We start from the raw sequence: 21,899 nt of genomic DNA, 5'->3' as shown, positions 1-21,899 counted from the left end.
GAGAGGTCAGATGGGTCCGTAAAAAAGGAGGATTCAAAGGACTCAGAGCTTGAGGTGGAGACCGAAGGAACAGGAGAGAAAGAAGAAAGATTTGGGACGAGTTGCATTGGGAGCAGAGACTAGGGAGGGACCAATGTGTAAAAGAATGCCTGGACGTCAGGCACCCCAGACCATTTGCCCATTTTTTGACAAAAATCATCCAGGTCTTGTAAGATGGAGAAATCAAAAGTGCCATTTTCTGGCTATTTAGAACCATTATCAAGTTTGTATCGGGGCCAAGTGGTGTTGCAGAAAAAAAAAATGCTTAGGTTTTAGGTCAGGCGAGAGTTGAAGAGGTTTTGTTTTTGAGAACACAGGCTAAGGGAGAAGAAGGGGGAATAGACGGTGGAAGTTTGCCCATAGTGAAGGAGGCAAGCCCAGAGAAAAGAGAGGGTAGAGACACGGAGAAGGGGGGTGGTGAGCAGCCCTGGGCTGCAATGTGGGTGAGCAGCCAAAGCGGGCGTCCCCGCAATTGACTTGCCACCAAGGGAATGTGGGTGAATGACCAGGGCAGGCGTCCCCGCGGTGATCAGACACCAATGGAGTGTGGGTGAATAATCAGGCAGGTGTCCCCACAGTGATTAAACACCAAGGGAAGACTGTCTTCCTGAGTCTGTGACCAGCTACGGAGTTTTGGGTCCACAGATAAAATGTGCCTCCTTTGTTTCTACTAGAGAGGAAAAAGAACTGGAATTGGAAGGAAAGGGAGATTGAAGGGTAGTGAGAGAGGCTGGAGAAGAGAGTGAAAAGACTGCTTACCCAATTTGAAATTGGTGAGATGTTCCTTGGGCTGGTTGTTCTGAGGACCTGAGGTCATAGGTGGATCTCCTCATGGAGTGAGGGTGAGGACAGGGGACTGATCTCCCAAAGGAGTCCTCCTGTCCTGGGTCTTTGGCACCAAATGTCACACGTGTCCGTGTGAAGATACCAGCAAACAGGCGTTGTGTGAGCAGTAAAGCTGTTTATTTCACCTAGGTGTAGGTGGGCTGAGTCTGAAAAGAGAGTCAGCAAAAGGAGTTAGAGGTGTGGCAGTTTTATAGGGTTTGGGTAAGTAGTGGAAAATTACAGTAAAAGGGAGTTGTTTTCTTGTGGGCAGGGGCAGGGGTCACAAGGGAGCTCCAGAGACTTATTGTCCAGGAGAAGGAATGTCACAAGGTAATGTCATCAGTTAAGGCGGGAACCAGCCATTTTCACTTCTTTAGTGATTCTTCAGTTGCTTCAGGCCATCTGGATGTATACACGCAGGCTTGGGCTCAGAGGCCTGACACTCCTACTGTGCCGGGTATGACTCCTAGGAGGGCATTGCCTTGGGTGTGCACACAGTGAAGTCGGATGACAGTGATTTTGGCAGGACATTCTTTGACTATCTTTTCCCCTAGTTTCTCTGTTAAGCTCTCTGCCTCATTTGGTATCACACCCAACTGTAGACTCCAAGAATTAACAGCTGATTCCTCTATTGTTTTCAACAATGCCCTGGGGCATAAATTGCTCTGCAGTCTGATCCAATTAAACTTAGGCAGGGGTAGTTTTTGAGACTAGTCTTTAGTTTTAGTTTTTGAGACTAGGTTTAGTCTGACCCCAGGAGAGTACTTCTTTTTTTTTTTTCCAAGATGGAGTTTCGCTCTTGTTGCCCTGGCTGGAGTGCAGTGGTGCTGTCTCAGCTCACTGCAACCTCCGCCTCCTAGGTTCAATTGATTCTCCTGCCTCAGCTTCCCAAGTAGCTGGGATTACAAGCGCCCACCACCACACCCAGCTAATTTTTGTATTTTTACTAGAGACAGGTTTCATCCAGGCTGGCCTCGAACTCCTGACCTCAGGTGATCCACCCGTCTTGGCTTCCCAAAGTGCTGGGATTACAGGTGTGAGCCACCATGCCCAGCAGAGAGTACTTCTTAGCTGTCACTTTCCTTGGTTCTCTTTGGTGAAATAGCAGGTACATGCTTTAGCTGGTGCTCTTAATTAAGAAAAGCTGTTGTTTTCTAGAACACCCTTAGGCTTGAACTTTCCCACATTCTCTTTCAAATGGTCAGTTACTTTGGGGAAAGATTGGAACTCTCTTTTCTGATGAACTAACTCTCCCCATAGGAAAAATCTCTGAAGCACTATTCTGGGTGGGGCAGTAGCCTCTGATCTTCTTGGCTTCCCTCTCCTTGCTAACTTGAGCAAGCTGAAGCAAAGGTCACTGGGGTTATCCCAGCTTGGCCGGCTGCACTTGGGGTAGACCCTCCATTTTATGTGTGAGTGTTAGGTGGAGGAAGGGAGCTCCCAATCTCCTGGCTATACTCTCCTGGAATTTTTCCTTTTGAAGTTGGAGTTGGAGGCCTTGAGAAATGTTGGCATTCTACCCTCCTGTTAAGATATGGTACCCCTTGATTAGGAGCTGAGGAGAGAGGGAACTCCCATCTTCCTGGTTGTATCCACCTGGAGTGGAGCTTCTGTCAAGCTGAGCTGGGTGAATAAAGTTGGGAGAGGGTCATGACTCAAATTCCACATACTCTTATTGGTTCCTTCTGAGTTTTAGTGGATTTTCTTTAATAAATGTTTCTTCATTTGCTGTATGCTTTGGAGAATTTCCAGAGACTTTAAATAGTTGTTTTAAAATAGTTTTTATCAGCTATGCTTGTATGCCAGAAAGTGGGTCCTTGGAGTTTCTCATGCTGCCATACCAGAAGTGGAAACTACTTAAGTTTAGAAGACAAATGACCATAAACATTGGTTTTAAAAACATTTTGTGGTCTTCTATGTAGCCAATGAATATATTTTTATGGCAAAATCACTAGCCAAGCTTCAAACACATTTGTCTCTTCTTATTTCACTGATTATTCTCTTTGAAAAGAGGATAAAGATGTTCTGCTAAGTTGAGGCTACATGATCAGAAACATTTAGTTAGAATTCACTTCAAAAATATAGTACTGGGATTAGAAACATTTCAGAGAAGTCGAACCTTTTTATTTGTATTATTATTACGATTTTTTGATATGGAGTCTTGCTGTGTCACCAGGCTGGAATGCAGTGGTGCGATCTCAGCTCACTGCAACCTCCGCCTCCCAGGTTCAAGCGATTCTTCTGCCTCAGCCTCCTGAGTAGCTGGGACTACAGGTGTGCGCCACCACGCCCAGCTGATTTTTGTATTTTTAGTGGAGACACGGTTTCACCATGTTGGCTAGGATGGTCTCCATCTCTTGACCTCGTGATCCGCCCACCTCGGGCTCCCAAAGTGCTGAGATTACAGGCGTGAGCCACTGCGCCTGGCCTTTTGAACTTTAATGTAGGTATGAGAACAATAAATTATTTGTCTCTAGGGACTATTTTAGGAGTAAATTATCTTGCTGCCAAAGACATTGCTGAAGTTTTCTTCTAAAACAGTGAGACTGATTATCAAAGAATTGCTTGGTATAAAAACAAAACAAAAATCTAGTACTAGGTCAATTGCTTGTAATTAACAATAAACAAATGAGCCAAAACAAAACCAGCCTACACAATGTTGCTCTCATTTACAAGGCCCCTGTTTCCTTGATAGCAGCCACCAAATTGATGGCCATCGCACAGGTCCAATTTCAGTATTTGTCCCCAGATGCTATCATACAATGGTAAGAACTCCTATATTTCTTCCTTTCTGTTCCTGAAATGAAAAGCCATGTAAATGAGCACTTTACATAGTTATTACTTTAGTCTTGCCATGAAATGTTATCAGCTGTAGGCTTCATTTATACTAAAACCCAAAGTTCTCAAAATGCACAAGTCCGAAAAGATAAGCCCTAATTGTTGTATAATACAGCTTAATATAATAAAATATAAACATTATGAATAATGAGAGTGACATAGTTTCTGTGGATTTCTGCATGGTTTTTTTTTTTGAGTGAACATATTTCAGAAAGAATAAGCATACTCTTAAAATACTTTCTTACAGTAACTCACTAGAAGTTAACTAAAATTAGTTGCCCCCCCAAAAAAACCGGGAAAATGTAATGATATATTTTATGCCAAAAGTAATTGGATTGCTAAAATAGATCTGCTTATGATTTAAAATATGAAAATTTGCCCATTTTAGAAACATTTTACACATCATATTTTAGCATTTCTAACCTTGCAGTTATACATGTGCATCTTGGGAAACAGTTTTTATTGTAGTGGTCCTACCCTCGTTTTTCATGTTAAAAAAGAAATGGTTTCTTTATGCTAAGAAAGATAATATTAGGTGTTAAATAGGTATGTATTAGTCTGTTTTGCATTGCTGAGACTGAATAATATTAAAGAAAAAGGTTTATTTGGCTTCCGATTCTGCAGGCTGTACAAGCATGGCATCCACATTTGCTTGGCTTCTGGTGAGGCCTCAGGAAATTTACAATTATGGTGAAAGGTGAAGGGGGAGCAGGCATGTCACATGGCATGAGAAGGAGCAAAAGCAATGCCAGGCTCTTTTTAACCAACTAGCTCTCTTGTGAACAAACAGAATGAGAACTCACTCATTACGATGGGAAGGGCATCAAACCATTCATGAGAGATCTGCCCCTATGACCTGCATACCTCCCACTATGCGCCACCTCCAACATTGAGGATCACATTTCAACATGAGATTTGGAGAGGAGAAAGATCTGAAACACATCAGACAGTACTTGGCATGCCTTGCTGGTGCTTATTAATAGCCTTACATATTTGTCACTGAGTTGCATTTCATATGTGCATATTTTCTGGTCTGGATTTTTTCCCCTTTATTTCAAACAGTCATGTCCGTATGTAATTCATTCAGTTCATACACATGCACTAAAGGCCTACTCTGTGTGAAGCCCTCTGCTGGGTACTGAGAATGCAAAGATGTGAGGGTCATGATTATTTGTGCTAGGTGTCCTAAGAGAACTAGCATAATGGGAGTGGGATGGGGAATGACTAATTTCGTCTGAAAGAAGGATCTGGTGAGGACTCACAAAAGAGGTGCTTAACAATACCTACATAAAAGAACAGGAGTTTGCCAGGTGAGTAAGGGAGAGAAGGGTCCGGGGAAAGAAGTATCAGGCAGAGGGAACTACAGGAGGAAAGATCTAGAAGAATAAAAGACCTTGATGTGTTCAGAGCATTGTAGGTGTGCAAACTTAGGGAGTCAGCAAGGCCATCTTTAGGGTTAATAACCCGCTAGAAGGATTCACAGAACTCACTAGAAGCAGTCACGCTTATGGTTATGGTTTATTATGGCAAAGGGATATCGATTAAAGTCAGCCTGTAGAAGACATGCGTGGAGTGGTGTGTTAGGCCATTCTTGCATTACTGTAAAGAAATACTTGAGACTGGGTAATTAATAAGAAAACAAGTTTAATTGGCTCATGGTTCTGCAGGCTGTACAGAAAACATAGTGCCAGCATCTGCTTATGGGAAGGCCTCAGGAAGCTTCCAGTCATGGTGGAAGGCAAAGGGGGAGCAGGTGTCTCACATGGCAGGAGCAGGAACAAGAGGTGGTGGGGAGGTGCTGCACACTTTTAAACAACCAAATCTTCCAACAACTCACTTGCTCTCATGAGGAGAGCACCAAGCCATGAGGGATCCACCCCTGTGATCCAATCACTTTCCCCCAGGCCCCACCTCCAACACTGGGAATTACATTTCGACATGAGATTTGGTAAGGACACAGATTCAACCCATATCAGGCAGAGCCCAGGAGAAGTCCATGTGTGGTTTCTAGTTGTCCTCTCCCAGCATGGTCATGGACCATGTTAACTTCTCCCAGCAATAATGGGAGACAGTCCACCTAGAGTATTATCAACCAGGAAAGCTCATCTGAGCCTTAATGCACAGAGTTTTTATTGGGGCTCAGTCACATCAATACAGTTGACTGCCTGCATAACTGGCTTTTAGGCTGTAGCCCCTCTGGAGGTCAAGCTGATACTGCATAGTACCAAACCCCCACAATAAATCACACTCTTAGACTACCCAGTGTGGCCCAAGGCCCCCAGGTAAACAAAGTCATTCTTATCAGTCAAGACATTTCAAGGGCTTACAGATGACCTTTTAGGAGCTGAGAGTAAAGGCCAGACCTCTCTTTGGGTACACTTAATTCTTTACTACACAAGGTATAAGGAGTCCAGTCTGACTGGAGTGCAGATTTTATTAGAGGCTGGAAAGGTGTTCAGGGTCAGATGGAGAATCACTGATGGGGTGACAAATGGAGGGGGAGTAAATGCAAGTAACAGAAGATGTAGATCAAAGATGCATGGAATTAACAGCTCTATTTGGAGAATGTGGTTTTCAACATTACCTCTCCACATAATGCCTGGAAGACCAGAATAGAGGCATAATAAAACCAAAATCACAAGCAAAAGAAATGCCAAATCGTGTCTGTGTGCTGGAACATTAGAGCATGTGTTTCACAACAGTGCCATACAAGAAAATGTAACCAAAGCAAGCTACTTAAATTGAGTATATAGTGGAAGTCAGACTAAAAAGGAATCTATGGGTACCAGGGCTCTTGTTAGCTCCTAAAATAGAAGAGCACCAACGTCTTCCAAAAGAAATTTGTCAAATGACCTTTTTACCACTCCATTGTATGGAACTATGCCTTGTGCATTTCCCTATTTTTCATCACTTAAGCTCTTCTTATGTTTTAGTCTACTAAAACAAAATTATAAACTCAGAAAATTTGGAGGCAAGAGAGGTCTTAATCCTCCTTTAAGTCCACTTTTTGCTTGAGGGCAGCCCTCAGACTGCCTGCATGAGAACCTTCTGGGAAGATTTCTCATTCCTAATAATAGATTATGGGTCAGCAAATGGGAGAGTGGGGGTGGTAGTGGGAAAGAAGCATAAAAATCTGCATATTTATTTATTTATTTTTGAGACAGGCTCTTGTTCTGTTGCTCAGGCTGGAGAGCAGTGGTGTGATCTCAGCTCACTGCAACTTCCGCCTCCCGGGTTCAAGCGATTCTCCTGCCTCAGCCTCCTGGGCAGCTGGGACTATGAGCATGCGCCACCACGCCCAGCTAACTTTTGTATTTTTTTAGTAGAGACGGGGTTTCACCATGTTGGCCAGGCTGGTCTCAAACTCCTGACATCAAGTGATCCACCCGCCTCGGCCTCCCAAAGTGCTGGGATTACAGGGGTGGGCCCCCGCACCCAGCTGAAATCTGCATTTTAATAAGCATGTCAGTCTGCATCTACCTATGAATCCTTCAAAATATTTTGCACACTTCCTTATGATTATTTGTTTAGATAAGCACCAGGAAAATATTTGGCTCATTGAAGTCTCTAATACCTAAAAGGTTCTCAATAAATGGTGTTTGAATAGTTGTTCACTCTCCTAACAGATCTCCTAGATTCCAGGGACCAGAAGGGGCTGAGGGATTCCGTGATGAGGTTGCCTGGACAGGCTAAGGTAACGTGCCAGCCAGCCTCAGCCAGTTTTTGGCTAGACCCCACCAGGTGCCAATACTTTTTTGCTTCATTGTTACCTTTGTTTCTTAATAAAGGTTTATTTTTAAAAATCCAGGCATCTTAGTTGAACTAAGTAAGGAGAAAGGGAAAGTTTTCACACCACTCCTAGATACCGTTATTCTTTTGTGAAGGCCCGAACCAGCCTGGGCCAGGTGATTGACTTGTACACTAGAAGAACCATTGCTTTTTTTTTTTTTTTTTTTTTTTTTTTGAGATAGAGTCTCACTCTGTCACCCAGGCTGGAGTGCAGTGGCACGATCTCGGCTTACTGCAACCTCTGCCTCCCAAGCTCAAGTGATTCTCCTTCCTCAGCCTCCCGAGTAGCTGGGATTACAAGTGCCCGCCCCCATGCCCAGCTAATTTTTTGTATTCCCACCTTCCAACCCCAACTTCTGCAAATGAGTGCTTCCAATCTTGGGCTTTTAATTCTTTTTCAATTTTTAATAGATGTGTAATTGTGCCCTAGATTGTACATGTATTAAAGAAACCCAGCCAGGTGTGTATTTTTCATTTTGGTAATTTGATGTCTTTAAGTCTGCATGCGTAAGTGGTTTGTCCACCTTGGCTGTAAGTCAGGCAGAATCAGGTACTAACCTTATATATTTAAAATTGTCTTTTATTAGTACTATATTACATATTTATCTTTCTTTTGTTACTTTTAATATTTTATACTAGTATATTTTATGTATATCTGAAAATGGCCTCCATTTTGTCATGTATCATTCTTTTTTTTTTTTTGAGACCGAGTCTCACTCTGTCACCCAGGCTGGATTGCAGTGGCGCGATCTTGGCTCACTGCAACCTCAGCCTCCTAGGTTCAAGTGATTCTCGTGCCTCAGCCTCCCAAGTAGCTGGGATTACACACACACGCTACCATGCTCGGCTGATTTTTGTATTTTTAGTAGACGTGGGGTTTCACCATGTTGGCCAGGCTGGTCTCGAACTCCTGAGCTCAGGTGATCCGCCTGCCTTGGTCTCCCAAAGTGCTGAGATTACAGGTTTGAGTCATGTATCATTCTTTCATAGCTGAGATAAATACACGAGTCCATTTTTTTCTAGCTTTTAGAATAGTTTTTAATGTTTAATGCCACCTCTTTAGAATAACTTTCAAATTTAATACATCAGTCAGTGGAGATGGAAATATTAATTGATCTGAGTTAGCAAGTATCAATGCTGTTCTGGAAAAAAAATTGCCGCATTCAGATGACTATATTATTATAACTACTAATCATCATCATCATTATCATTATCACCATCATGATCATCAGTAATGGCACTGTATGATAGTCTTACTAATCTTTCCAGATGAATTACACTATAAACTTGTCAAGAGGGTGGGCTGGAGACTGTAACTGGTACTTAATGTAATCTAACTTAATGAACATATTAATATTTTACTTCATCTTCTCACACAACAATAAGGCACATGTCTTCATAAATTTATTTTTCCTCTATTAGAGTTTTGTATCCTCCTGTAAATAGATTGCAAAATTATAAATTGTGTTAAAGAAATCCTCCGTAACTTAATATATTTCATTTTTATCAAACAACTTATGTAGACATAAAACATTTTATATTCTATGTGAAAAACCAGAATGCATGATGCCATGTATAAATATAACTGCATTTCAGGAAAAATTGAAAAGAATTATATAAAAATAAAAACTTACAGGATGATAATAGCACTTTTTTCCTTCTTAGCAAATTTTCTTTAATTATATTATTAAATCCTTATGAGAAGAAATTAAGTAAAGATGGTGACATGGTTTGTATATTTGTCCCCTTCAAATCGGTGGCTCATGCCTGTAATCTCAACACTTTGGGAGGCTGAGGCGGGTAGATCACTTGAGGTCAAGAGTTCAAGACTAGCCCGGCCAACAAGGAGAAACACTGTCTCTACTAAAAAAAAAAAAAAAAAAAAAAAAAAAATACAAAATTAGCCGGGTATCCTGGTGCGTGCCTCTAAATCCCAGCTACTCACTACTTGGGAGGCTGAGACAGGAGAATCGCTTGAACCTGGGAGGTGGAGGTTGCAGTGAGCCAAGATCACCACTGCACTCCAGCCTGGGCAACACAGCAACACTCTGTTTCAACAAAAAGAAAAAAAGAAAAAAGAAATGTAATCCCCAGTGTTGGAGGTGGGCCTGGTGGGTGGTGTTTGGATCACGGGGGTGGATCTGTCATGAATGGCTTAGTGCCAACCCTTTGGTGGTAAGTGAGTTCACAAAAGATCTGGTTTTTTAAAACTGTGTGGCCCCTCCCTCCTTCTCTCTCTTGTTCCCTTTCTTGCTGTGTGATACTCTACTCCCTTTCTCCTTCTACCACGATTGTAACCTCCCTGAGGCCCTCACCAGGAGTCTTGTGGATGCCAGCACCATGCTTCCTGTATAGCCTGCAGAACCATGAGCCAATTAAACCTCTTTTCTTTCTTTTTTTTTTTTTTTTGAGACAAAGTCTCCCTCTGTCACCTCAGCCTCCTGAGTAGCTGGGACTACAGGTGCATACCACCACACCTGTCTAATTTTTGGATTTTTAGTAGAGACAGGGTTTCACCATGTTGGCCAGGCTGGTCTCAAACTCCTGGCCTCAAGTGATCTGCCCACCTCGACCTCCCAAAGTGCTGTCATGAGCCACCATGCCTGGCCCTAAACCTCTTTTCTTTATAACTTACCCAGACTCAGTTATTTCTTTATAGTAATGCAAGAATGGTCTAACACAGATGGTGACTTGTATAAAATATTTTCCTTTAAAATGTGACTTATACCTTTATTCTGTTGAAAGCATGATGAATTATGTTTTACTTCACTTTGCTTTCCAGGAATAAGTGCTATGGGTTACCAAAGACATATATATATTATTATTATTATTACTTTTTTTTTTTTTTTGAGACAGAGTCTCGCTCTGTTGCCCAGGCTGGAGTGCAGTGGCACGATCTCAGCTCACTACAAGCTCCGCCTCCTGGATTCATGCCATTCTCCTGCCTCAGCCTCCCAAGTAGCTGAGACTACAGGCACCTGCCACCACGCCCGGCTAAGTTTTTGTACTTTTAGTAGAGATGGGGTTTCACTGTGTTAGCCAAGATGGTCTCGATCTCCTGACCTCGTGATCCGCCCGCCTTGGCCTTCCAAAGTGCTGGGATTACAGGCATGAGCCACCATGCCCGGCCCTAAAAACATATTTTTTTAAGGTTTCAATTACTAAGTTTCTTTAGGATTTGATAATTTCTACATTTTTGATATTATTGGTCTTACTATGTTATACATTTTCTTGATTTTGTTTTATCAGCTTGAATATTATGGTATGTTTATAGCTATCTACTTCTAGGTAAAAATAAAATTTGTTAGGGAATATAGGAAAATTATAATCCCTTCATTTTTCCTTCAACATTTCATAATAAAAATTGTGAAATGTTACAGAAATGTTGATTCCTAGTGCTTATTCCTTTATCCAGTGGTTGTCCACCCCTCTCTGGCCAGGTTATGATATTAAAAAATGTCTTCACATGTTGACAAATTTCCTTTAAGAGGGAAACATCATGAACCACTACTCATGAGGGATATTAGTATGTCATTTTAAAAAAGAATTTGACATTAGAGTTATTGTCTCATAACATGAGTAGACAGTGTTTCCTCCTGCTTTATTTTCTGAAAATTTTACATGAGATCAGTATTATTTCTTCCTTGATTGATAAAATTTACCAGTGAAACTAAGTGTCCTAGAATTTACTTTGTGGGTAGGTTGCTGGTAACAAATTAATTTCTTTTAACAGAGATAGAGCTATTCAGATTTTCTGTTTCTTCTTGTGTCAATTTTGATAAGTTTTATTTTTCTAGGAGTTTGTTCATTTATGTAAGTTGTCAAATTTGTTGGCATAAGGTTTTTCATAATATTCTCTCACAATCCTTTTAATATTGGTTGAATCTATAGTTATAATTGTTTTTAAATTCTTGGTTATTTGGAGTCTCTTTTTTTTTCATTACAAGAAGTTTGTCAATTTTAGATTGTTTCCAGTTTAGGGCTATTACAAATAAAGCTGTTATGAACATTTGTGTACAAGTTTGTATGCTTGCATGTTTTCATTTCGCTTGAATATATGCCTATGAGTGAAATTACTGGATTATGTGGAAACTATGTTCAACCTTTTGAGAAACCACTGAACTGTTTTCCACAGTGGCTGCTTTATTTTATACTCCCCCACTCCAGGAGTGTATAAGGGATGCAATTCCTTCACCTCCTTTCCAAAATTTATCAACACTGCCTTTTTTATTCTAGCTATTCTAGTATGTGTGAGGTGGTATCTTACTGTGGTTTTGATTTGCATTTTCCTAATGACTAATGTTATTGAATACCTTTTTATGTGCTTACTGGTCATTTGTATACCTTCCTTGGCTGCTGCAGTTTAATTTATCATTTCTTCCATTTATGGTCTATGCTTTAGTGTTCCTATCTAAGAAACTATGTTTATCTCAAGGTCACTAAAATTTTATCCTAGTTGTCTTCTGGAAGTTTTATAGTTTTAGATTTTATATTAGTCTATTATACAGTTTGCCTTAATTTTTGTACATGATTTGAAGAAAGGGTCAGTGTTCATTTTTTCCCCATATAGATATGCAATAGTTCCAGCACCATTTGTTGAAAATATTTTTTTCCATTGAATTTCCTTGACACTTTAAAAAAAATAACCATATATATGGCATATTTCTGGACTGTCTATCCAGTTCTCCTGGTCTATATATCTACCGTTTGCTAAGGCCAAACTGGTTTGTTACTGTAGCTCAGGGCTTCTCAGTTTCAGATTATTTAAATTTTGGTTCCAATAATTCTTTGTTGGTAATATTTTCAAAGAACTAGCTTTTGGTTTTGTTAATTTTCTCTATTGTGTGTTTTCTATTTTTCTGACTTTTGTTGTAATTAATTTTATTTACTTTCTGATACTTACTTTGGGTTTTTTTTTAGCTTCTTAAAATAATCATTAATTTAAAACTATCAAATTGTTTTCTAATACAAGCATTTAAAACTATACATTTCTCCCTAAGCACTGCTTTACCCACATCCCATATATTTTTATGTGTTCTATTTTTGTCATTGTGTTTAACATAATTTCTAAATTTCCTTCTGATTTCTCCTTTGACTTATAACATTTGAAAGCTTGCATTTAATTTCCAAATATTTGAGGTTTCCTAGATATGTTACTTTTATTGATACGATTTGTAATTTAATTCTATTGTGGTTGGACAATATGCTCTACATGCTATCAATTCCTTAGAAGTTATTGAGATTTGTTTTATGGCTCAGCATATGGTCTGTCTTGGTGAATGTACCATGTGTACTTGAAGAGGATATGTATTCTGCAATTGTTGGATGTAATATTATACAAATGCTGATTATATCAAGATATTTTATAGTATTATTCAAATCTACTATGTCCTGAATTTTGTCTAGTTGTTCTATCAATTGATAAAAGAAGTATATTAAAATATTTTACTATGATTGCAGAATTATCTGTTTCTCCCTTTAATTTGGTTAATTTTTTTTCTTCATGTATTTTGAGGTTCTGTTATTAGGCACATATTTATAATTTATATGTCTTTCTGATGGATTGCTCCTTTTATATTTCTGATATATTCTCTTTTATCTCTGGTAATATTCTTGTCTTATTGTTTATTTAATCTGATATCAATATATCCTCTTCAGCCTTCTTAGGCTTACTTATTTTTCCAAATACCATCTTAGTTGGGGCTAGAGCTTCAACAAATGAATTTTGTGGAAACACAAACATTTAGTCCCTAAAAATGTTCTTAGGATTTGTATTTGAAATGAGTTTCTTGTAGACAGTATATAGTTAGGCTATGTTCTTTATCCACTCTGCCAATCTTCGTCTTCTAATTGGTGTGTTTACACCAGTTACATTTAATGTAATTATTGATATGTCAGGGCTTAAATCTTTCATTCTATTTTTTTCTATTTTTAGTTTTCTGTTAGTTTCTTCTTTTTTGTTTATTTTTTCTGACTTCCTCTGGGTTGCTTAACATTTTTTAAAAAGAATTATTGGTGTATATTTTTCTTTCCTTTTTTTTTTTTTTTTTTTTTTTTTGAGACAGGGTCTCACTCCCATTGTCCAGGCTGTAGTGCAGTGGTGCAATCATGGCTTACTGCCCCCTCAACTTCCTGGGCTCAAGCGATCCTCCCACCTCAGCCTTCCAAATAGCTGGGACTACAGGCACAAACCACCACACCTGGGTAACTTTTTGTATTTTTAGTAGAGATGAGGTTTTGGCATGTTGCCCAGGGTAGTCTCAAACTCCTGGGCTCAAGGAATCTGCCTGCCTCAGCCTCCCAAATTGCTTACAGGCATGAACCACCATGCCAGGCCAGTATGTTTTTCGTTGCATGTACTTTCAAACCTATTTGTGTCTTCTTACTTAGAGAAGACACAAATAAAGATGGTATCATGTACAGAGCATATAGTTGAGTCTTGCTTTTTTCTACTCACTCTGATAATTTTTGCTTTTTAATGTGTTTAGATCATTAACATTTAATGTAATTATTGATATGGCTGAATCTAGGTCTATCATTTCATCATCTCATCATCTGTACCCTTCATTTTTTGTTCTTCTGTTCCCATCTTATTGTTTTTTAAACAATTTTCCTAGTATTCCATTTTAATTTATCTATTTGATTTTTAGCTATATTTCTTTGTATTGCTATTTTAATGATTGCTCTAAGAATTATAATATACATCCCTAAGCAGATCTTGCCTTTTTAATACAGTGCTTCAAAGGTTTTCCTGGAAGCTTACCTAGCAGATATCTGTTTACATCTCATTGGCTAAAATTGGGTTTAATCACTACCTTTAGACCAACCATTGTCCATGGATAGTGACTAGGTTAGACAAATTTGATTCACATTCTAGAATTGGAGAATGAATCCATCTACACTGAAATAGGGGATTCTCTTTGTTTGATATTTGCTAGTAGGAAAGAAGGAGGGTGAATACAAAGTAAACAGCGGTCAGTGCCTGCCAAGGTCATTAAGCTTGTCAAATGTACTTAGTGTGCCAACATTTTAACCTCAGCACATTTTTAACACAGTTCTTTTTTTTGTTGTTGTTATTTCCCTTTAATTATCTTACTAATAAAGGAAAACTGTCCCCTTTAAAAAATTACATTAAATGTAGCTTCTAGTATTTGTTGCCCATGTCTCCTATTCCCATTTTGTTGTTTATTTAGGCTAGGAGTGCCCTTTGGAATAAATTTTGAAAGTCTGTGCAAAACTGGCCTATGGTAGACAATGTTTATTATCTACAAATGAGTGATTTAATAATGAATGCATAAAATTTTCTGACTACAAAAATGAAATTTCCTAAAGAATCAGTTCAATTTTATTCTAACAGATCAGAATTTCTCTTCAGATTATTTTGCTGTAAAGGAGACAACCATAACTTTTCTTTAAAAAAAAAGCAAAAGAGAGAAAAAAAAGATTAATTTGGGCCATTGACTAGTTCCTTTCCCATTTTAAAAAGAAGGTAGTTGTCATAAACAATGTTACATATAATTTTGTTTTTAAAAGCCTAAGTAGTATTTTAAGTATCTTTGACTTAACACATTTTGGTACAATATGGATATTCATAACTAGAGAAAAAAAGAATTGGCATTTACAAAGTTTAATTAAAAATAAGATGTTTGGTTTGCGAAAACCAGGCCCATAATTTTGAAAGCACATTGCCCACTTTCTTCTCTAATAGGAGGGTACAGCTACTCATTACTGATGATTGAATTATAAATTCTCTAAGGCAGAGACTATTTTCTGCCTCATTAGCAACTTGTGTGTGCAGAGGGACAGGTTGGTCAGTCTCATGATGACTTACAACTTAATTAATACATACATACATTAACTTATTGGATATCCTTAACCTTCCGAGAAGGTAGTGGAGGAAATTTCTTCCATTTTTTGGATATTTCCTCTATGCCAGCATCCCCAGGCCCCCCATGCTGTACAACTTCCTTGGAGTTGGGCCACGTACAACCTGCAAGAAGACTTTCCTGCCTCCTAAGTGTTTTCCAGAGGGACAGCATGGGGAGTCTGGGTGGAAAATCATTGATTGTGCAGGACTGTTTCATTTAATATCCCCAGACCTCACTCAAAGTGCCAGCACTGCCCTCCTGCCATCGTGACATTCAGAAATGCCCCTCCCCACCAACCACCAGATGCCCCTGGGAAGCAGTGCCATGTCAGGACTTGCTACCACGCTGCCTCTCTAAGGTCATAAGTGGCAGGATTTATAACCACAGTGAATAAAAATGGCCTTGACAAAGAATTTTGAACATTTTGGACCAACCACATAAACCTTCCTGTATGCAAGCTTGCTTGGACACACAAGGGAGTGCTTGGAAGGGATTGAGAAATATTCGGACCAGCCGGGCGGGGTGGTTCATGCCCATAATCCCAGCACTTTGGGAGGCCGAGGCGGGCAGATCACAAGGTCAGGAGTTTGAGACCGGCCTGGCCAATATGGTGAAACCTCATCTCTACTAAAAATACAAAAATTATCCGGGTGTGGTGGCGGGCGCCTGTAGTCCCAGCTACTTGGGAAGCTGAGGCAGGAGAATCACCTGAACCCGGGAGGTGGAGGTTGCAGTGAGCCGAGATCATGCCACTGTACTCCAGGCTGGGCGACAGAACGAGGCTCTGTCTCAAAAAAAAAAAAAAAAGAAAAGAAAAGAAAAGAAAAGAAAAGAAATATTTGGACCAGCCTGGGTAACATGGGGAAACCCTGCCCTGTCTCCATAAAAAATGCAAAAATTGGCCAGGCACAGTGGCTCACACCTGTAATCCCAGCACTTTGGGAGGCCAAGTCAGGCAGATCATGAGATCAGGAGTTCAAGACCAGCCTGACCAACATGGTGAAACCCCATCTCTACTAAAAATACAAAAATTAGCTGGGTGTGGTGGTGTGTGCCTGTAATCCTAGCTACTCAGGAGGCTGAGGGAGCAGAATCGCTTGAACCCAGGAGGTGGAGGTTCCAGTGAGCCGAGATCGCGCCACTGCACTCCAGCCTGGGTGACAGAGTGAGACTCTGTCTCAAAAAAAATAAATAAATAAAAGCAAAAATTAGCTGGGCATGGTGGTGTGTGCCAGCTACTTGGGACGCTGAGGTGGGAGGATGGCTTGAGCCTGGGAGGCAGAGGTTGCAGTGAGCCATGATCATGCACTGCACTCCAGCCTGGGTAACAAAGCAAGACCCTATCTTTAAAAAAGAGAAAGAAAGAAAGAAACATTTGGAATCCCTCAAGCAATATCAGTGCCAAAGCTTAGAAAAGGAGTTGGCGTAGAAGAATCACCTCAAAATAATAATCATGATGATAGCAATAAGAATGCTCAAGCCAGGTGTGGTGGCTCAGACCTGTAATCCCAGCACTTTGGGAGGCCAAGTTGGGTGAATCACTTGAGCCTAGGAGTTCGAGACCAGCTTGGCAACATGAAAAAACCCCATCTCTACAAAAATAAATAAATAAATAAATAAATTTTAAAAACACACAAAAATTAGCTGGTGTGGTAGCGAGCACCTGTAGCCTCAGCTACTTGGGAGCTGAGGTGTGAGGGTCGCTTGAGCCCAGGAGGAGCTCACCCCACTGCACTCCACCCTGGGCAACAGAGCAAGACCTTGCCTCAAAACAAACAAACAAACAAACAAAAGAATGCTAACACTGTTATTACTATGTGCTAGGCACAATGTCAAGCTACCTGCACGTACTATCTTATTTAATTCTCACAACAGTGCCGTGCAATTGTTGCTACTGTTACCCTCATAGATTAGTGAACTACCATCATCCCTTGCCACAGTCATCATTATAACCTCCTTTCTGGTCTTATTGCTTCCATGGAGTAAGCAATACTTTTACTCTTCTGGAGTCCACTCTTGACAAAATCAACCAGAGCCAATTTTATAAAACAAAATCAGATCACGTAACTCCTCTGCTAAAACTCTCCAGTTGTTTCCTGTCACTGAATAAAATCAGAAGTCCCACAGTGGCCACAGGGTGCATATGTCCTAGTTCCACGTACCTCCCTCATTTCCTTCTACTCTGTCCCACACAGACCGCACTCCAGCACACCAGCTTGTCGTTCTTGGAACAGGCCAACCTTAGTCTCACCTTGCTGTCTGCAATCGCTGTCTCTCCCCAAGATGTGACTCACTCTCTTACCTTATTTGGTCTCTGCTCAGACCTCATGACCTGAAGAGCTTTTCCTGGTGGCTCCATCCAAAGTAACCTCCCTCCTTCACTCTCTGCCCTTCCCCCACCCCAACCGCTGACCTTTGCCTCCCTCTTACACTTTATTAAGTGCCTCTTTGTTCTCCCATTGATTGTTTCTGCCATATGTATGTGAGCTTATAAAGTGGGGGCTTTATCTTGTTCTCCCCTTAATCCCCATCTCTTAGAAAACATACTACCTCAGTAAATATTTCTTGAGTGTCTGTGGCTGACAGAAGTAAAGGGACTTGTCCAATGTTCAGAGCTAATAAGGGGTGATTTACACTCTGAACTCCCAGACTGTCAGAGAAGGCCCTCCTTTGGGAAGAGGAAAAAAAATACAGATGGAAGAGAAGTTTAGTATGGAAGATGGGAATGAGAGAAAGGCCTTTCTCCTCTCTGCCAGGGAATGCTCAATGGAACATTTTTTTTTGAATGCATGCAATAACCAAAAGACAATTGTATAAAAGGCAAAAACCAAGGGGCAGACACTGAGACTTCAGCAAGTTAGGAGTTTGTCAGTAAATTGGAACCAGAGTTGTTTCTTTCTGGGCTATGCAGTTGCTAGATTGCTCTCTGCTTTAGCCTTGCTGTCTAATTGTCATATGTAGGAATCATGCAACTGCAGAACTGTGTACCCTGTCTCTTAAAGCAGCTCTGTAGTGGTCATTCTGAGTGAATTAATTTAGGATTAGCTCAGAAATAACTAATGCCTCCAGGGTAGCCAGAATTGCAGTCTGCCTATTAACATTTGCTTTGTTCCATTGCTTTAGAGTCATATTCAATTTATCAATTTCCCTCTTCCAGTTTTTGGCATGGTATCCTTTTGTCCCTTTCTCCTGTATCATAACTCTCAGGGAGCCTAGCTTGCTATGTGTTGAATACTTGAAACATTTTTTTAAGTAATTATACAATTTTAAAAATGGCTTATCTTTTTGGCTAGGGGGAAGCAAGGGAAGTCGACAGAATAGCACCTCAAATGATGTGGACTCAGTTTCTTGCTGGAATTTGCAAAGCCTATTTAAATACGATCTTAATTGTCAGAAGATTGTTTTTAAAATATAGAAATTCAAGAAGACAGACTTTGAGAATGCAAATTTGAAGAACTTGGAATCTTTTTCATTTCAAATATAATATTAACCACAGAGCTTGTCTAGCTGGATGCCACAGTCTGTGTACAACATAAGGAAATCATCATAATAAAAACAGCTTCACAGCCTTGCTGGTGTTGGGTGCTGTCTTTGCCCTTACACCATTTTTTGCATGTTGTTGGTTAGAAAAATAGCAGTGTATGTAGGAGATCTAAAGGGCAGATTATTAAATTATGGCCACTAGCGATGAACCAATGAATGAATGTCAACAGAGGAAGTGTGATGACTTATAATACAGAAATGATGCTTCCAAAACTTTCCAAGTCTGTTTCCATCACTGTTAGGGGCAAAATAAGGTTTATATGGAGAAAAAAATTCAAGAATGCCTGTAAGTCACATAGCAATTATGACAAAAATTCAAAGCAGTTCACAGGCAGGAATAAAGGTGTAAGGAAGGCAGGGTCTAAGCTGGTGCAATTTGTGTAGGGAGGGAGGGGATGATGGTGGGAGACAGGGGGAGGGGAAGAATCGTTTAGCCCTCCATGGTTTATGTTTAGCATTCTATTAAAGAACACTAGGATTTAATCCAATGCTGGCTTTACTCTAAATCTGTTTGATTATGCAGGCAGGGAGCCGAAGGGCTGGAGGCTAAGGATTGACTTGCTTAGTTAACTAGAGAAGCAGATGGGGTTGGGAGGTTCTGTGCTATGTCTCTCCCTCCACAGACAAGGCTGAACCTGGGAGCAAAATAAGGAGTTGGGGTTGGGTGTGGTTGCTCACACCTATAATCCCAGTGCTTCAGGAGGCTGAGGCAGGAGGATTGCTTGAGGCCAAGAGTTCAAGACCAGCCTAGGCAACCTGGGAGAGTCTGTCTCTACAAAAAAATTTTTTTAATTAAAAAAAAAAAAAAGTTTGGGGGCCCTTCAATCTTGGAGCTCTAAGACCACATCTAAGGGAGTGGGAATGTGGTTGGGGTTGTGAACAAGTCCAGTAGAATGTGGGACATGGGGCAAAAGGCTGGGCTCAACCCTAGGGTACGTACTGGCAGGTTATGCTACGAACTCTCTAGGTCTTTACAACCTACTGCCACTCAGAGGAAAAGGGAAGAAGGTAGGAGAACGTTTGCTGGGTCCCCTCTCCCCCTCGTTCAACACCGCAGCCCTCACGTTCCACCTCCACACTCCCCACCCTCGATTACGTCACTGCTCATCCACACCACAATAGGTCCCAGTTTGCCATTTCCTGGTGAAACAACATTTCCTTTTTGGTATCAGTAATGATAATTTTTTTATGTTCCAGCAACAATGATAAGAGTTATAAAACGATCTTTGCCAACCACCTTCCTCCTGCACTGATTAAACATTAATAGTGGGGTTGAAGGAAACCTCATTAAAAACAAACCCATGCTGACAAGCGGCTCTCCAAGGCTTCATCTGATCTCTCTGACAGCAAAGTACAATGGTGATGGACTGGGGAGTGAAAGAACTGCCCCATAACACAAACACCCTGTGGGTAGAAAACAAGCAATGGCTGAGATTTTGGAAGCACCAAGGCTAATGGTCTTCGTTCTTCATTTTAATGTCCTGGCCGCTGGACATAGTAGGCGCTCAATAAGTGTTGAAGAAATAAATGATTGAACGCAACTTTTTAGGGTACTCAAATCCCTCCCTTTTAGCACTGACTTCCCCAAACCTGTCTTCTGACATCCTAATTTTATCCCCAATAAATGGTCCAGCTGTAATTATTTTCAACGAAATTCCTTCAGAGGAATTTGTGTATCTGTGGCTATGCAAAAATATCTTGACTCTGGTGATGTCAAATAAAGCTCACATACTATTAAATACTAGGCATGCATTAAAAGAACAAGGTAAGCCAGAGTATAGGTGAGGAATAGACCTGACCTTGTGGGAAGCATTGGTAGGAATAACCTCCTCAGAGATCATCAGCTTTTCCCACTCACATGACTTTTTTCACTCTGACATTTGAAAAAGATCATTTTTCTCTGTCTCAATACCAAAATACTGATTATCATAGCTGTTTGGAAACTTAGAAACCATATAGTCCAAATCTCTCACTTAATAGATAAGGGAACTGAATTTCAGAGTGGTCTAATGATTAACGCAAGGTCTCACTTCTAGTTAGAATTGCTAGAGCCAAAAAACAAATGTCCAGTGTCTCAGGCTAGTAAGCCGTTTCCCCCACAAAGCAATGACTTCTGGAACAGACAGAAGCAGGCAAGGGATGGACATCCATCAGGCCTATTGAAGCAATCCATTGTGGTTATTGGGAATAGGCACCATTTTTTTTTAAAAAAAGAATACTAACATGGAAATAGCTCCAGACATTATTGAATGAAAAAAGCAGTTGCAAAATAACGCATAGGGTGTAAGTCCATTTATGTGAACCAAAATGAGCAGTGTAAATTTTTCCATGGACAAGGTGTGGAAAGATGGATTCTACTCTGACAACAGTGCTTCCCTCTGAAGAGGACTCTAGGATCAGGGATGGTGGTCAAAGGCCAATTTGTCCTTACCTGCAATTGTTTGAATTTTTATAAGGAGGATCTATCTATGCATGAATTGTTTAAGAACTAATTTAAAAGGGTAAAACTGGCTGAGCATGGTGGGTCATGCCTGTAATCTCTGCAGTTTGGGAGGCTGAGGTAGAAGGATCAGTTGAGGCCAGGAGTTTGAGACCAGTTTGGGCAACATAGTGGGATCCCATCTGTTAAAAAAAAAAAAAAAAGTTTAATTGAGTGTGTTGGCACATGCCTGTAGTCCCACCTAGTAAGGAGGCTGAGAGGCAGGAGGATTGCTTGAGTCCAGGAATTTGAGGTTGGACTGCTTACTAGCTGTGATCATGCCACTACACTCCAGTCTGGAAGACAGAGCCAGGTCTTGTCTCTAAAATAAAATTAAACAAAAATAAAAGAGTAAAAGTGTATTTCTTGTTGTGTTCTATGGCACTCTGATGGCTTTATTCCTAACACTATGAATCATGCTCTGGGGGACTCAGCCTTTGACCTTAATCCCAATGGAAAGTCTAGATTCATCCCAAAACATTAGGGTTCATGGTCTACCACAGGGAAAGAAGAGAGTG

The 21,899-nt window shown here is 40.4% G+C and overlaps 1 protein-coding gene across 1 annotated transcript in view; it reads left to right on the top strand.

Annotated features, from left to right (window-relative positions):
- HYCC1 (hyccin PI4KA lipid kinase complex subunit 1) overlaps window positions 1-18,928 on the top strand; it is a 118,288-nt gene extending 99,360 nt beyond the window's left edge. Inside the window, exon 11 of the mRNA XM_011515590.3 lies at window positions 18,653-18,928. Within this exon, the coding sequence (XP_011513892.1) occupies window positions 18,653-18,774 (122 nt within the window). The 3' untranslated portion in view covers window positions 18,775-18,928. The remainder of the gene's footprint in view (window positions 1-18,652) is intronic.

Source organism: Homo sapiens, chromosome 7 (genome assembly GCF_000001405.40).
Source record: "Homo sapiens chromosome 7, GRCh38.p14 Primary Assembly".
NCBI lineage: Eukaryota > Metazoa > Chordata > Mammalia > Primates > Hominidae > Homo > Homo sapiens.
The sequence above is the reverse complement of the archived record's forward strand: the minus strand, read 5'-3'. Positions and strand labels throughout refer to the sequence as shown.